The following is an 18791-nucleotide window of genomic DNA, read 5'->3' as shown; positions in this document are numbered from 1 at the left end:
TAACTGAATCCAACAACATATCAAAAAGATAATCCACCATGATCAAGTGGGTTTCGTACCAGGGATGCAGGAATGGTTTAACATACACAAGCTAATAAATGCAATACACCACATAAACAGAATTAAAAACAAAAATCACATGATCATCTCAATAGGTGCAGAAAAAGCATTTGACAAAATCCAGCATCCCTTTATCATTAAAACTCTCAGCAAAATCGGCATACAAGGGACATACCTCAATGTAATAAAAGCCATCTGTGACAAACCCACAGCCAGCATAATACTGAATGGGGAAAAGTTGAAAGCATTCCCTCTGAGAATTGGAACAAGACAAGGATGCCCACTCTCACCACTCTTCTTCAACATAGTACTGAAAGTCCTAGCCAGAGCAATCAGACAAGAGAAAGAAAGAAAGGGCATCCAAGTCAGTAAAGAGGAAGTCAGACTGTCACTGTTTGCTGATGATATGATTGTTTACCTTGAAAACCCTAAGGACTCCTCTAGAAAGCTCCTAGAACTGATAAAAGAATTCAGCAAAGTTTCCAGATACAAGATTAATGTAAACAAATCAGTAGCTCTTCTATACACCAACAGCGATCAATCAGAGAATCAAATCAAGAACTCAACCCCTTTTACAATAGCTGCAAAAAAAAAAAATACTTAGGAATATACCTAACAAAGGGTCAAAAAACCTCTATACTAAAACACTGCTGAAAGAAATCATGGATGACACAAACAAATGGAAATACATCCCATGCTCACAGATGGGTAGAATCAATATTTGAAGACGAGCATACTGCCAAAAGCAATCTACAAATTCAACACAATCCCCATCAGAATACCACCATCATTCTTCACAGAATTAGCAAAAACAATTCTAAAACTAATATGGAACCAAAAAAGAGCCCACATAGCCAAAGCAAGACTAAGCAAAAGAACAAATCTGGAGGCATTGCATTACCTGATTTCAAACTATACTGTAAGGCCATAGTCACCAAAACAGCATGGCACTGGTATAAAAATAGGCATATAGACCAATGGCATATAGAACCCAGAAATAAACCCAAATACTTACAGCCAACTGATCTTTGATAAAGCAAACAAAACATAAAGTGGGGAAAAGGACACCCTTTTCAATAAATGGTGCTGGGATAAATGGCTAGCCACATGTAGGAGAATGAAACTGGATCTTCATCTCTCACCTTAAAGAAAAATCAACTCAAGATGGATTAAGGACTTAAACCTAAGACCTGAAACTATAAAAATTCTAGAAGAAAACATTGAAAAACCCTTCTAGACATTGGCTTATAGGCAAAGATTTCATGACCAAGAACCCAAAAGGAAATGCAATAAAAACAAAGATAAATAGTTGGGACCTAATTAAACTAAAGAACTTTTGCATGGCAAAAGGAAAAGTCAGCAGAGTAAAGAGACAACCCAAAGAATGGGAGAAAATCTTCATAATCTATGCATCTAACAAAGAAATAATATCCAGAATCTACAATGAACTCAAACAAATCAGTAAGAAAAAAAACAATCCCATCAAAAAGTGGGCTAAGGATAGACAATTCTCAAAAGAAGATATACAAATGGCCAACAAACATATGAAAAGATGCTCAACATCACTAATGATCAGGGAAATGCAAATCAAAATCACAATGCAATACCACCTTACTCCTGCAAGAATGGCCATAATAAAAAAATAAAAAAACAGTAGACACTGGCGTGGATGCAGTGAACAGGGAACACTTCTACACTGCTGGTGGGAATGTAAACTAGTACCGCCACTATGGAAAACAGTGTGGAGATTCCTTAAACAGCTAAAAATAGATCTATTTGATCCAGGAATCCCACTACTGGGTATCTACCCCGAGGAAAAGACGTCATTATTCAAAAAAGATACTTGCGCACAGATGTTTATAGTAGCACAATTCACAACTGCAAAATCATGGAACCACCCCAAATGACCATCAACCAACCCAAATGCCCATCAATCAATGAGTGGATAAAGAAACTGTAGTGTGTGTGTATGTACATACATACATATATATATATATGATGGAATGCTACATAGTCATAAAAAGGAATGGATTTACAGCATTTGCAGTGACCTGGATGAGAGTGGAGACTATTATTCTAAGTGATGTCACTCAGGAATGGAAAACCAAGCATCATATGTTCTCGCTGATATGTGGTAGCTAAGTAGTGACGCAAAGACATGATAATGATACAATGGACTTTGGGGACTTGGGGGGAATTGGGGAGGGGGGTGAGGGATAAAAGACTACAAATATGGTGCAGTGTATACTGCTCGGGTGATGGATGCACCAAAATCTCACAAATCACCACTAAAGAACCTACTCATGTAACCAAATACCACCTGTACCCCAAACACTTATGGAAAAATAAATAAATAGATTTGTAATGTTAAAAAATAAATAAAACTAACACAACCACAGTCAACAGTAATGCAAAAGCAATATTGCTATTAGAAAAAGCACATCAGGATCTAAAATTAATTTATCAGATTTTACTTTTGTGATGTTTCAGTTAGAAAAAAACCTTGTGCAGCCAAAAAACACATGAAAAAATGCTCATCATCACTGGCCATCAGAGAAATGCAAATCAAAACCACAATGAGATATCATCTCACACCAGTTAGAATGGCAATCATTAAAAAGTCAGGAAACAACAGGTGCTGGAGAGGATGTGGAGAAATAGGAACACTTTTACACTGTTGGTGGGACTGTAAACTAGTTCAACCATTGTGGAAGTCAGTGTGGTGATTCCTCAGGGATCTAGAACTAGAAATACCATTTGACCAAGCCATCCCATTACTGGGTATATACCCAAAGGACTATAAATCATGCTGCTATAAAGACACATGCACACGTATGTTTATTGTGGCACTATTCACAATAGCAAAGACTTGGAACCAACCCAAATGTCCAACAATGATAGACTGGATTAAGAAAATGTGGCACATATACACCATGGAATACTATGCAGCCATGAAAAATGATGAGTTCATGTCCTTTGTAGGGACATGGATGAAACTGGAAATCATCATTCTCAGTAAACTATCGCAAGAACAAAAAACCAAACACTGCATATTCTCACTCATAGGTGGGAACTGAACAATGAGATCACATGGACACAGGAAGGGGAACATCAGACTCTGGGGACTGTTGTGGGGTGGGGGGAGGGGGGAGGGATAGCATTGGGAGATATACCTAATGCTAGATGACGAGTTAGTGGGTGCAGCGCACCAGCATGGCACATGTATACATATGTAACTAACCTGCACAATGTGCACATGTACCCTAAAACTTAAAGTATAATAATAAAAGAAAAAAAAAAAAGAAAAAATGCCCTTATTCTAAATTGGCATAGCCACATGTGAGATTTCTAATCTATTTGGTTTTAGTTTAGGCTAATAAAAGACAGTTGCTTATCATGGGAATGTTTAACGAGGGAAATTAGGGAATGTACTATGTTCTCTGGGGACATTTAAAACAGGAAAACCATAAATCTGTGCACTTTATTCTGCTTATGAGTGGAGCATTGGATTCAGTCTCTAAATGTCATTCCAGAACCTTCCTTGTACATTATGCTATACAGGATGGTTCACTTGAGGCAGGCAGGCTTCAATAGTGCAATAGCATTTAGAAGTGTTTATTTTAAATTATGTTATACTACCCACTTAGATGACATATTTCATAGCACTAACAAAAAACATTTCTCCTATTTCTGCTATCTTTCAAATATCTGTATTACATCCACCAGTATTGTTTGTCAAGGATTTCTCTTAATTACGTAAGTATTGTTTATTCTATTATAAACCGTAAGTTTAATAAGTAGCTCTGAGGCATCAGTAAATGCTAATATAAAAATTAAGAAAAACACATTATGAGGTAAAAGAGATAAAGTCATAATGTTGCCTGTAAATACTGATTCTCAGAGTTGTAGAGATTCCATTTTCTTAATTATTAGTAGTATTAATTAAATTCAAAGCTCATTATTTCTTAAGGAGAAAAAGAAGAATTTTGGGGGGTTTTAACTCCCTCTACTTCTATTTTAGGTTCATCCTGATCATGCTAGAAAAATATTAGCAAAAATATTCTATTCTAATATGTACTGAGAAATTAATTTAACAGTATAATTTTCAGCTTAGACACATGCTATAAAAAGAAAAAATGTTTTACTTAGACAATAGAATATTAGGTTAAACAAAGAGTTCTCATCATAAAAATCTTATTTCTAGTAAATTCTATGGCACTTAAAGAGTTAAAGATTGAAATGAAAAAACTATACCTCTAAAAGGGCTGAATACACAGAAGTTTTTAAAACCATATATGGTAAACATAAAAACAGTAGTATTCTACAAAGCTAAAAATATAACTCTGAAACAGTGTATCAGTATTGTCAATACACGTCATTAAACACAGAACCTACAATTCTCATACTTTGTCATTATATTACAGAAAATTGCAAAAAAACCTATTTATATATTGAAATGTAAGAAACAGATATGCATAAAAATCATGAAAACACGGCCTGAACATATTTCACTGTACCATTTCTTTAAGAGGGTCCATCTGAATTGAATTTCAAATAATATATATCAACACCTTTACAAAAATGTTACTTAGGAACCCTTCTTTCTCTCTCCTCATTTTTTCTTCTGGTTAAGGAACTCAGTGTAACCCCAGCTCCCCTACTCCTTACTCACTTCCATCATTGGGAGGTGGAGTGACTGACCAATGATAAGCTTGGGAAGAAGAACTAGGCATTCCGCCACAGTTCTGCCATTCTTTTATAAGCAAGCCTACCCACATAAACCATGCATTTTCCATTGCTCCCCGTGCCATACATTGTCCTTCTGGACCCAATTTTGTCAGTAACCTGTTGCTATAGCCTGAACTGGGATCTTAAAGATAACTTTTAGCCCTCACATTAAGCTACAGCCTTCAACTTGGCCATTTTCAATAATAAAAGTGATATTTTGACTGCCAAGTGTACTCTATTGGGAGCCTCTTGGAAAGCACAATGCCTAGCAACAGGTAACCCCATTTTTAGGAGCTTGTCCTGAGGAGCTAACCCTGAACAAGAAACACTCTTTTAAAAATGCACAAAGATGTTCACTTCTATACTACTAATAATAAACTGCCAAAATCTAAATACCCATACTGGGTATAAATCAACTGATAAATCCACATGACAGACTCTCATACAATCGTGAAAAGAATTAACTATAAAAACTGTGTAACAGTATGGGGAAATGCTTTTAAAATAATGTCAGAATTAAAATGAAGGTAGAATGAAATCTAAAATTCTTTCCATGGCCTACATGTCCCTACCTGCCCTGATTCTTGACTTCCTTTTTGTTTCTACTATTCTCCAGCTATCCTTGCTTTCATTCCATTTCATGGAGAAGTTAAGCTTCTGTACTCACTATTTACTGACAAGCTCCTTCTTATTTGTGTCTCTGCTTCCATGCCATGTCCTCCAGAAAGAAATATTTGATCACCCTATCTATCACATCCTACCCTATACTCTTTCCACTTTGCCTTATTTTATGCTTTGTACTTACCACCATCTGATTTTTTATTTACTTGCCTTTCTATACCCAGCAGAATGTAGGTTCCACAAGAGCAAGGCCATGTCCCAGCATTTACAGCAGTGCTTAACACAGTAGGCCCTCAACAAATACTCATTTGAATGACAAATAAAGACATAATATGTATAAATTAAACACATAAAATAGGTAAATTAAAAACATAAACATTATGTAAAGAAGGAATTTTAGAGGGCAATATTAATTATGTGGCAATAAGCTTAATGGGAAGAAGATCATGCCAAACCACATAGGCCATGAAGCCAGGGCTACATCTGTGGGACAGACACGGCAATGGAGAATTAAGAAAGGTGGACTTCTGCTCCCAATCCCACTTTAACCAGAGTAGTGCTGCTTATTCCTTATTTTCTACATTGGGCATCCATCCAAATTTTGTCTAATAAATAGTTTCGTGGCTTTAAAATGTTTGAAAACAGCACATTAGTGCTTCATCAATGTGAGTGTACTGTTTAAGATATAAGGACCAGAAAAGAAAACTCAATTAGTTGGGTATAAATCATATAAAGATAACTAATTATGAAGGAGAAATTAGGAAGAAAAAAAGATTTAGGCCCCTCCTGCCAAAAAAAAAAAAAAGAAAACCACACCAAACTTTCCTAAAATAAAGGTATGGTAAAGAGCTAGAAATAACCAGAAAACCAAGCAAAATAAAACATAAAACAAAGCATATTCACATGTGCAATCTATACTGAAAGCTTTAAAATATGTACAGGTTGAGCCAGGTTGAGGGAGCTTCCCTAATCCAAAAATCTAAGATCAGAAATGCTCCAAAATCTGAAACTTTTTGAACGTTGACATGATGATGAAGATGACGTTGTTAACACTGCAGAAGTGCCTCTGGACATATGGTGAAAGTGTGTGACGGGCTTTGTGAAGAACGAGAGCCAGTGTGCATTCATAACAAGAAATCATGCCAGTTTATATTTGGTTGGTGCAAAAGTAATTATTGATTTTGCCATCAAAAGCAATGGCAAAAACCGCAATTACTTTTGCACCAACCTAATAAAATCAAAGAGAGACTTCTAAGCAAAAACTCTGTTAATGAGGCAGATGACTCTGGAGGAAACATTTTAAAAAGCCATCCAGCAGAATGCCCCCTTATCCGTAGAGGACCCACTTCCTGGTCCCTCTACTGCTTCTGATGTTTCTTAAAAAAAAAAAAAGTAAAATACATCCTACAGTAACCTTTTCAAAGGTTTAAAACACGGCATCATAAGTGGTGACTGAAAGCCTGCCATTTTCATTGTTGCTATTTTTCAACAGCTGATACAGTTATCTGGGTGATGTTACTGTGCTGCTTGGTGAACATATTATTTTTTCAATGTCTTAATGCATGTCCAATTTTTTTTTTTTTACTGTTAAGTAATTAGGTGTGAATAAGTACAAGAAAGTAATTGCCTATTGGTAGCATACAGATTCAGAGTCAGGAATGATGGTGATGCCAAACAACCACTGATTGTCCACATGGGTGGCTGAGATAGTGATATCTTTGCTTTCTGAGGGTTCAATGGTTCAATGTACAGAAACTTTGTTTAATGCACAAAATTACTTAAAATATTACATAAAATTACCTTCAGGCGATGTGTATAAAGTGTATATGAAACATCCATGACTTTCATGGTCAGACTTGAGTCCCATCCCCAAGATATCTCATTATGAATATGCAAATATTCCAAAATCCAAAAAATCTTAAATCTGAAACACTTCTGGCCCCAAGCACTGTGGTAAGGAATACTCAACCTGTACAAGTAAAATGTATTACCAAAAACTCAGTGCGCCATACCTGACCAGAGTCTCCAGTACAATATTCAGTAATATCACACTCGTTCACAGCATCCCGGCATTCATACCCTCGTGGCTGAAACTGCAAATCAAAATTCAATATTAAGAGTTAGCATTACATAATATTTCAGAGTTATTATAACATTCTTAGACTCACCGACAATGCCTATACTCTCGCATAACTAACACCAAACTCTTTTTAAGAATTAGCAAGACAGAATATCCTATTGCAGAATAGAAACAAGACCCAGATGCTACCCTCTACACTAAAGATGAATCATCAACCAAAGCTTTAAATGTTCAGATTTCAAAACCCACTGTTTCAGAGTACTATTTTCAGAAAACAATGTGACGGAAATCACCTAAAGAAGAAATTCTGGTTTGGCTTAAGACAAAATAGCAAAACACTATAATATAAACATTTAAGATCTCTCTGAAGAATTCACATATATACCCAACCTTCACTGAATTACCTATTAGCATAGATATTAAACTTTCTTTTGCTAAACACAGACAATCAAATTTTAATAAATTCATACGAATTACCTTTAGTAATGCCAGGGAATGCCTTTTGTATACAAAGCATTTTATTTGAGGAGGGTGTGGGTAAAAGGTGAAGGAAAGAGCCCATTGCCCTCAAGCAATTTATAATCTGGTTGGGGACATGAAGCAAGGAGAAATAAGCTAGAAACTTCTAAATACCATAATGCATAGTACCCCCTAATATTGAAACAAAATCATAAAATTATGTAATTCTATGGTTATAAGAAATATTAGAGGTTATATATATGAGAAAAGGGAAGATTAAAATGAGTTTTCAAAAATAACTGGTGGTCTCTGTAGATGGAAGACTGTGTCTGTCCACACACACACACAAACCATGTATATACACATATGAGTGTGCATTCATATGTTACTTTCCTATCTCACTTTCTTGCCTTTACAGGGGATTTTAAAAGCCCAATGGGAAAATATGAGCACTAGCTTTTATGTTCAGGTCTAAAATAAATTAGGGTAAGTTTTGAAGAAAAATGTTATAAGTAGGTCATATTATTAAAAAGACCACAGAAATTGTCTCCCCTCTATTCAACAATTTAATTTGGATTTCATCTATGTTAGTAGGGCAACTCTTTTGGAAGCAGTTTAGGTATATTTTCCTAATGAGGCATTGGAGGATAAGATGGTTGGTAGTGAATAATAGTAGAGATAAATGTTGCGGCCCACAGAATTTGAGATTTATCGATCCTAGAAAACTGCCAGGCTAATATGTACACTGTACCCAAGAAATTTGTGACAAGCTACACAAATGCTCAGTGTACACACTGAGATATCTGGCTAATCTGTCAATTAAAAGAAAGATGAAACTGTCAGAAAACTCACAAGACATGAGGTATTGTTACAGCAGGGCCCGTCGCTGCAGTGAGCCCCGTTGGAGAGGGAACATTTCTTACAGCATAATCCATAGCATTCCTAGAGAAAACACTTCACGTGAGTAAGCGAAGAGCCTTACCTGCTGGTCATTCATATTCTCTCCACACGTGGCATGCATATTCCAAATGAGAACATTTATACAACAGTAAGCAAATATTCTGGGAAAGAATTAATTACTTTAAACAAGGATAGATTCCTTCCTGCCATACTTGTCACCAAAGTAAGATCTTCTATGAAAGGACTTCAATAGCAAATAGAAAGCTTTATTTTTTTTTTCCTTTTTGTTTTTTTGAGACGGAGTCTTGCTCTTTCACACAGGCCGGACTGCAGTGGCACTATCTTGGCTCACTGCAACCTCCGCCTCCCGGGTTCATGCCATTCTCCTGCCTCAGCCTCCCGAGTAGCTGGGACTACAGGCGCCCGCCACCGCGCCCGGCTAATTTTTTGTATTTTTAGTAAAGACGGGGTTTCACCGTGTTAGCCAGGATGGTCTCTATCTCCTGACCTCGTGATCTGCCCGCCTCGGCCTCCCAAAGTGCTGGGATTACAGGCGTCAGCCACCGCGCCCGGCCGAGAAAGCTTAATTTTTAGCAGGCAATTCTCCTCCAATTAGCTCCACTACATTCTAATACCCAATCTATTTTATAAAGATAAAAATAATATACAACACGGAAAGAATGTTTTACGATTTGGTAAAACTTATCTGAGATGAATATGAGCTACAAATTTTTAAGAGGTAGGGAATTTAATTAGAAGAATCTATTAGGTTTGCTCAGACAAGGCCATAAGGACATGACTGATTCCAACAGGTCTGAGTTGAATTAAGCACTAATCAGAGAGATGAGAAAGAAAGGCAGTAAGACCACAATCAATGTGCTGGCCTCTCACAAATGCTATACCTGTTTGCACCAAGTAAGATCTGTGCTGTAAGTATAGAAGGTTTCTTATACCTACCACATGAAAACCACAATCACACTCCTCCCCAGCTTCCACGTATCCATTTCCACATTCCGTGGGCTCAAATAGCTAAAGAGATTAGGGACAGAAGGGAAAAATGTTTCAATTTATCACAGAAAATCAGCACATCAACTGGGCCACATACAATGGCCGTATAATCAGCTATCATGTGATATTCTTCTTTGATCTGTTGTTGTGGCATCTTATAAATGATGACTGTATGGGAAATACTGTTCACTTATTAATAGTACTTAAAAATATATCTGAAATGGGGCAATATCTCTTGGGGGATTCTCTGGCTGTGGGCTCCACAGATGAACTCTAGCATTAGAGTTACTTTTCATGGAGACAAGCTGTCAAGAGGAATAGATCACTTTTCATATTTGCTAATGGAGCTAAAATGCATTGCTAATAAGACTCACAGATATCTAATTTGCTAACTTGTCTCAAGACAGCTGAGAAGCCATAAAAACTGTCAAAAAGATAAATATGCTTCAGTCATAGCCAAATGTGATATGTACAATCAAGTAAATGCAAGTAAACTTAGGGGAAAAAATGTTGCTAGAAATCCAAGACCATCATTCTCACTGAAAAGAAATCTCAAGTGTCTGCAAGCATAAGACACATGTATGGATATACAGAAATCTCTCAGTCATTCCTAGGGCAATAGAAGAGTATAATTTCTAGAATAATCTAGTCTACTGGTGCCATGAACTTGCTTGCCAGATAAACTATATTATAGAGCAACTGTAAAGGTAGTTGACTGTTTATGAGAAACATGCCTGCTTCCCATTCCAGGGGCAGTGGGGAGGGGGGCAGGATTTCTCTGGGCATAATCACTACACCTTAAATGAAGGCTGGAGCAGCACACTCCAACCCAAATGCTCTGAGCCCTAAATATGAGAGGGAGAAACTGACTCCATCTCCAGCAGCTGAACACACCTCAAGGAAGCGCTGCCTTCCACTAAATTCACCTGAGAAAGAACTGATCCTCCTTCCACTTCCAGGAAGGCAAAACTATTACGAAAAGCAAAGGTTTCCAGGCTACTTGGGTGGGACTCCCCCTGTGGAAAAGTCCTATGAGCAAAATCAGCATTGCACATCTCTGTGTTATTTTGATCAGGAGGCAGGAGAAACTGGAAAAGGGAAGGGCTGACTAGAACATGGCCTGCACTTTATACCAGGCTCCCCCTTCTTTCCTTCTTAGGACTCTGCCTCCATCCTGAGACGGGTCACTATCTCCAACAGTGTGGAAAACATGGCAGTGGGGAAGATTCCTAAAGCACAGAAAATATGCACACATATAATGTAAAAATAATACACACACAACACATGCATATACATACATTCAAAACGCTTGGGGGAAAAAGTCACTTCTTTGATACATACATATAAACTATTCCACTGGCATCCATAGTTGTTTATTAACCATTGTACTACGTAGTTTAAAAAGACATAATTCCATATTTACTAACTTTTTAAAAAATAGATGATTTATAGTTATTTTTATTTCATTTCCAAGTTATTAGAATAATTTTCTCCTAACTCATAGACAATTTCAGAAATCCATTGATGGATCTTTATGCATATGCTAGAAACCTTAACCTTTCCAAACAAGTGAGAGTTGTTTCCTCAGGCATGATGCTTATAATTAGCTCCTAAGCTACAAGGTGGGTAAAATTAGCCATGTACATTACAATTCAAAAATGCCAGCAGCTCACATTAGTTCATTATTACTTATTTCACCCATTTTGAACACTTTGAAGCTTTTGGATTTCTGTTGCATTGAAATCAACGTTATGAAAGGCAGGCAACTGACTTTCACGACGCAAGGTCACTTTGAAAGTCCTGTTTCTTTTTTCCACAGCCATACTAAGATTCTACACAGATGTCAGGCATCAAGCCACCATCTCCTGACTACGTAGTGTCACTTAATTATGGGTTTAGGAATAAATTATCCTGTTAGTTACCACATTAGTTACTGATTTAAAAAAAAAGGTTAACATTATTTCGCTGCTCTCTCAGTTTGCAAAGTATTAAACATTTTGCATAGCAATGAGCTATATTTGACTCATGAAGTAGTATTTTAAAAAGAAATACGAAATTTGCCATGTTAGAATTTCCATACCATCTGCTAATTAGCATTGATCCTATCTTTTGCCTGCTGAGCAACTTCATTTCCAAACATGCTACTGCAGGTCTACAGCCCCGATTTATGCAAAAGCTTTGAAGCTGGTGAGTTTGAGACTTCCAGCTTTGCTGAAGTTTAGAGAAGTACGATGCATTTACCATATTCTATATAATAGTCCTGAGGGGCCTGGGACACACCCTATAATCAGTTAATATTTCTGCAACAAGACTTATGAATATTTACCTTATGAGGTATAAATATTTTCAGTTTAGGACAAGTTTTACTGTCAAATGTGTTTTCCACAAACATAAAAAACACTTCTGAAAATTTTCAGTTTTCTGAATTAAGAATACACGAATAAGGGATTGTGACACTATATACACAAAGTTTGACGAGATGCCAATTGACAATGTGGCCCTCTCCAGGTAAAGAGACAATGCATTATAAACACGTATGTGTATTTATGGTATCCATAAATACCTTGGGTGATTTTTTGGCTCGCTGATATTCATAAGGAACTAATGTCCCAAGAGGACAAACCACTCAAAAAAAAACAAAAGTCAAGAAATTAGTCAGGCCCTGCATGGTTTGGCTCTGTGTCCCCACCCAAATCTCATCTTGAGTTCTACTCTCCACTGTTGAGGGAGGGACCTACCTGGTGGAAGGTGACTGAATCATGGGGGCGGTTTCCCCATACAGTCCTCATGATAGTGAGTGAGTCTCACTAGAGCTGATAGTTTTAAACTGTGGCACTTCCTCGCACTCTTTCTCTCTCTCCTGCCACCTTGTGAAGAAGATGCCTGCTTCCCCTTTACCTTCTACCATGATTATAAGTTTCCTGAGGCCTCCCTAGCCATGTGGAAATGTGAGTCAATTAAAACTCTTTTGTCTATAAATTACCCAGTCTGAGGTAGTATCTTTATAGCAGTGTGAAAATGGACTAATACTTGTCCCTAGAAAGAATGTCAAGGAGAAATGGAATTTTTATCAGAGAAATTAGTTAAAATAATATTTTATCTTAATTTAACCCACCATCTCTTAGCAGCAGGGTAAAAATCTTAACATGAAAATCTCAAAGATATTTTAATTGAAGGATTGTTTGCTCTTTGGAAGGGAGGATTTGGGAGTTCTAGCTAGCACTGAAACACCAGAGACTGAGAATGCTGAATCTATGGTTTTGTCATTCATTTAAACAGGACTCAATCTTTAACATGATAAGGACTTTTATAACTAAATATTAATCTGATTGACAAGAAACCTGCTTTCCAAGACAGGCGTCTGATATCCAGCACTGTTGCACTGTAAAACACTGGAGAAATAATATACTTTCTTAGTATGCTTTCTAAGTTACTAACCTTTGTTGGCCTGTTGAAAAGGCAGGCTCCACCTCCTCTCTGTAAAAAGTCTCTATACTCCAAAATGCTGCACTTTGAAAATTTTCGAGAATGGGACACCCTGAGGAAACAAAGAATCAACTATGTAAATAATTTACCAAAAGCAATCATCAGAGAAGAAAATTAAAACCCCTAAATTAGAACAAAATGTTCACTTTGAATCCAAATGAATCTACACAAATTTTGACAAGGGACTTATGTTCAAATTGCCACTTAAGTACCTGTGGTGGAGTTTGCAGAGATGGAATTTCAAAGAAAATCAAAGATTTGGGGGCTACATTACAACCTCCTCAGCAGTCAAGCCCTTTTGTGACCAGGCTTGAAATGTTTTTTAAAAAGCTCATTACAAAACCTCTTCAAATAGGCTGTATTTTAAAGTTTGTTAATTTTTATTTGCTATATCTCATTAAAGTCAAGCATTTTTTTTTTTTGCCTCTGTTTTCTGAATAAAAGGAGCTCATGAACGTACTAGATTTTACATTGGAGGAGAGAGTTGTGAGGGCCAGTATATTAAAGACTATATCATGCAGGCCAACAATGCATTCAGGTAAACAAGGAAACCTTAAAGAGGTGTGTTAGATCATATATGTATATGCACGTATGTTTTTAGTATGTATATGCACAGTGACAATAGAATTGGGGTACGCTTCCATGAATAATGGCTCTTTATTCTCAATTTCAAATACTATTTGGTGATATTCATTATTAATCAGGAATAGAAAATGAGCCTTTCTGTGAATTACTTAATCAAATATAATATCTCTATGTCAGAACACAGGGGAATATTATACACATGGTTAGTTAAACTGAATCACACACACGCACACCTATTCCTCAGGAATACAGTGCGTGATTATAACAGTGCTTGACTTGCGAGTGACAGGCCACTTATTCTAGGAAGTAATTCAATAATTTTATGCATTCTGATGTATGAAGGTAGTTTACAGAAGTAGGTGAAACCTGCCACTGTTGATAGGAACCTCTTAGAAAAATATATAGAAATGTATTCTTGAGAAAATACATGTTAACTTTAAAACATTTTATCTTATTTAAAACATTTTATATATTTTATTATATAAAATATATTAAAGATATTATATGTTATATATATTATGAAGAGTCATTGTAAAAACTTCAGAGATTAATTTAGAAGACAGAAGACATCTCCCTATAGAACCAATATTATAGGTGTTATCTTCTTATAGTAGTCCTCAAAAAGCCTGGTTAAGCCATAAATTACTAAGCTATGGAGTAATAGGGAACCGTGGAAGCTAAGGGTTTCACGTTTTAAACTCTATTTCTAGAAATGCGTTCTAAAGTAGCAGGGATAATGGCCTACTGTGCAAACCTTCATGCCCACACTCCTCCCCAGGAGTTGGACTCCTAGGAGGGCTGGTGGAAGAAAACAAAGGAGCTCTGTCCAAGTAGGTCAGGGCCTCTGGCAACCAGAGGGACGGAGGTAGGACCAGAAATGGTTGGTGTGTTGAGCAGGTGTCTGGCATGGCAAAGAAAGCAAAAGAGGCACATGGGTGAGGAAACCTCTCCCCTCTACTAGGAGTGGGTTATGGCTTAGGGGGTCTGGGGGCAGTGGCTCCCATGAGGCAGGGGTCCCTGTGAAAGAGGGCAATATTTCCAGGCCTTGGTTCACTGAAGCAACAGCAGCTCTGGGGAAGCTGCTCTAGTTCCCAAAGTATTCACAAAAGAAAAGTGAGGGAATGTTCAAATGTCTATCACTAGAAGACTACCTGATTTAGATACAATAAGTCTGTCTTAATTTTTAAAAAGCTTTATTGATTTATAAACAGTAAAGTTTAATTTTTATTACCGTAAACATATATATTTACGAGTTCCTTAAAATGTAAATTGATGACTAAATTGATTTTCACTGACTGCTTCAGGTAGATAACCAACTTTTAATCTAAGTGTACTAAAAAATTAATGCCTCCACTAAACTTAGAAGCCTTTAATCATGTGCTTCCTTTAAGGGTTAATAAGAAGTAGAAGGTAATACATTTTACTTTTATCACCAACCTTAAATAAAAAATTAAAATACAAAGTAAATTAGATCTTTCAGTTTAAAAATATCAGACAATTAATTATTCATTTTATATTGTGCTTAGCCTAAAAGACCAATACCCGAGAGACCTTGTTTCTAACTCTACACAGCAATTTTAGCAAAAGGCATATATCAAATGCACGCATAATGAAAATTTACCCTGTTTCCTCCATGATGCAGCCACCCCAGGATTCTGTGCAGTCACATTCTGGTCCAATAAAACAATAAAAGCAACAGAAGAAAAAGGAAACAAAGAAAGTCACATATTTTTTTGGTATTACAACTCCTACAATAATTCTTTATTACCAATTCCATGTCAGTCAAATAGACACGGAATGTGAAGTCTTACAGAACAAAATTTCTTTTAAATCAATAGTTCCTTATCCTTTCCAGAATTATAGGTTAATTCCTAAGAAAACAGCTGGCAAGAAGTAATATTGTGCCTCTCTTCATTATTTTTGTAACTCTGACAACTCAATTTGGTTCCTAGTTCTAATGTTTAGTGAAAAGTACCCTGGTCTACAAATCAGACAGCCTGAGTTCTAGTCCAAGATCTGTCATATGAGAGAGTCCCATAGGCAAGTAACTTAGCATTTCCTGGGTCTCAGTGTTTCTACCTCTAAATGGGAATAACACCTTTTTGTCTATCTCCCAGAGTGGTTGTGGGGTTCACACTAGACGGTGTACCTATGTGCTGTGAATTTTAAAGCTCTGTTGCACAAACACAACATATCATCACTGAAGTTTTCTAACAGAGAATGCTCGAAGTTAGAGAAGAGAATTCAATTTGTTAGAGTTGAAGTGAGGATGAGCAAGAGACTTGAATGAACACTATGCTAAAAGGTTTAGTGAAAGAGAGCAATCTAAAACAGAAGTGTACATAATCACTTAAAAACAATTACAACTTAACTTCGATACCAGAAACTGACATATTGATATTGTGATGGGCTCTTCTCTTCATTAATTTTTTCCTGTTTCTCTTTTCTATGCCTCTCTCTCTATCGATATATCGATAGAGAGAGCAATATATATCAACGTATATATATAGAGAGAGGTATACATCTATCTATATATACCTATATAGAGAGAGAGAGGTATATGCAAAGATAGACTTCCAAATGGATTTTTTAAACTCAAAGTTTAGAACCAATGAAATAGCTACCTAAACAAACAAGTCACAAAGAAATAAAGAATTTTAGGCCGGGCGCAGTGGCTCACACCTGTAATCCCAGCACTATGGGAGGCCGAGGTGGGCAGATCATGAGGTCAGGAGATCGAGACCATACTGGCTAACACAGTGAAACCCCATCTCTACTAAAAATACAAAAAAATTAGCCGGGTGTGGTGGTGGGCACCTGTAGTCCTGGCTACTCGGGAGGCTGAGGCAGGAGAATGGCATGAACCCAGGAGGTGGAGGTTGCAGTGAGCCGAGATCGTGCCACTGCACTCCAGCCTGGGAGACAGAGTGAGACTCATTCTCAAAAAAAAAAAAAAAAAAAAGAATTTTAGGAAGGAGGGAACGATGGCAGGCATTAGTAATGAAGTCTACTTCTCACCCTATTCCATCATGCAACTCAGTAACACCTCTCAGCTGACTCTAGCACTGGCCTCCTCCCAGATTCAAGATTTCTAAACAAGGGCATAAACCTGGTCATACACCTTTCTGGTTTTAAGGTGTTTATGCCAGATGGTGAAACTCTAAACACTTCCTTTAATGTGTACTAGGTGTTTCCTGGGAGAGCAAACACTCTGAGCAAGATAATCAATGGAAGTTTGCGGAGGTTTGTGAAATGCCACCAGACACTTGTGATGACTATCTTAATGTACCCATAAAGGGAATTGAGAAGCCTGTGTAAATATAATTTGTTTCAATTTTCCACAATATTATGCATTAATGAAAAAAAGAATATAAAATATAGAATGATATTAAGGTAGATTTTTCCTTTTCTTCTCTAGGGAGGTTGGGGTGGTAAGTGAGACCTTTACTCCCAGTGTCTCATATTTTCAAAAAATAGGAAGGCACTTTCATCTAATTTCTAGTTAAGTGAATAATATGAATGAACACTTTGGTCTCTCTTTCCACCGGATTGCATTAGGTCGTTGCCCACTGTCATAAAAATGTATTAAAAATTATATTTTACCACTGGGTTTGTATAAAGATAAACACAATCTGGGTTGACTTTTATTCTGATTTTAAAAGAAATTAACATTTTTCATGGACCCTTCAGATTACTGTGAGCCCTAGACCCTTTGCCCACTAGAAAATCAGCCCTGTCTTCCTATCTACCTCTCATCTGATTAACGAAAAAATGACGCCTAACAGTCACTGGCTATGTTTTTTACTGATGGGATGTGTGGCCCTATTGGTTCTCCTTTTTGGACCTGCCTGGGCCACTAGAGGAGAATCCTATCCTCTACCACCTGTTCCCATGCTTAAAAGGCCCTGGGGCAGGGTCTTCCCTTGCAAAGCCTTTTTCTCCAACTTTTCTGATGAGACTAGGTGGGTAAATTTCATTAGAGTTTAAAGATGAGCTCTCTTTGACTCTAGATCTAAGCTATTTCCCAATCCAACTGTGATCTCACTAAGCTTGTGATGGAGGCTTTATCTAGCACCTTGTACGTCTGCTCAGCTGCTAGAACCCTGAGTGTGAGAGTATTCCCTGCCCCCAGCCCCACATTCTGCAGTGTGAGAAAGAGCTGACTCATTCCCGGAGAAACTGGGTATGATTTTATGGATTTTGAAAGGGAAATTTTTACAACCTAAACAGATTAAAAATTACCTTAAGTTGCTTATTTTCTAAATATTTTAGAGGAAGGAGATATACTACAATTAAACTATAATGACTGGAATGAAAAATATTTATTTATTGACTGGACATGCATTATACAGACAGAATGGCACATGAAAATGAGTAAGAAGGTCAGTGTACATACTTGGCTTTCTGCTAGAAGGTTCCCATTGGATTCCAAGGTTTTGAGCCAGGCTCTGCGATAATACTTGTGCCACTGCCATTGGAAGACCATACTGTTTTTCAGAGTTGAAAGTGTGTGGGAGACATTTGAGAGAGTGCACAAAGCTAGTTATTATTTCTTAATTGTTACCACAAATCTTCTCAGTTCCCTAAGTAGAGCCTGTCAGTATCTTAAGATGGCATATGCTACTTCTCACCTCCTCTTTACAACTGGGCCCAAGAAGCAGAAAGCCCCTCTTACTATGTGATATCTCTCAGAATTTGAAGCTCTCACATTGAAACATAAAATACAAGTCACAAAAGGCTGTGCTCCAATTCAACTTATACCAAACTAAGAATAAATTTAACTTACTAAAATATGTCAAGAGAGGTACCTACTAAATGGGCAACTGGGATAACCTGGTATAATATACTCCAATATTATTCCAGG

General features: G+C 37.0%; 1 protein-coding gene across 3 annotated transcripts in view; it reads right to left on the bottom strand.

Annotated features, from left to right (window-relative positions):
* ADAM23 (ADAM metallopeptidase domain 23) overlaps window positions 1-18791 on the bottom strand; it is a 177596-nt gene that overhangs the window by 40511 nt on the left and 118294 nt on the right. For all 3 annotated transcript variants that reach the window (NM_001410985.1, NM_003812.4, XM_005246932.4), the window contains exons 13-18: window positions 18324-18414; window positions 15549-15597; window positions 13295-13394; window positions 9806-9877; window positions 8801-8890; window positions 7422-7502 (exon numbers count right to left, since the gene is read on the bottom strand). In NM_001410985.1, the coding sequence (NP_001397914.1) occupies window positions 7422-7502; window positions 8801-8890; window positions 9806-9877; window positions 13295-13394; window positions 15549-15597; window positions 18324-18414 (483 nt within the window). The remainder of the gene's footprint in view (window positions 1-7421; window positions 7503-8800; window positions 8891-9805; window positions 9878-13294; window positions 13395-15548; window positions 15598-18323; window positions 18415-18791) is intronic.

This window comes from Homo sapiens, chromosome 2 (genome assembly GCF_000001405.40).
Source record: "Homo sapiens chromosome 2, GRCh38.p14 Primary Assembly".
Classification (NCBI taxonomy): domain Eukaryota; kingdom Metazoa; phylum Chordata; class Mammalia; order Primates; family Hominidae; genus Homo; species Homo sapiens.
The sequence above is the reverse complement of the archived record's forward strand: the minus strand, read 5'-3'. Positions and strand labels throughout refer to the sequence as shown.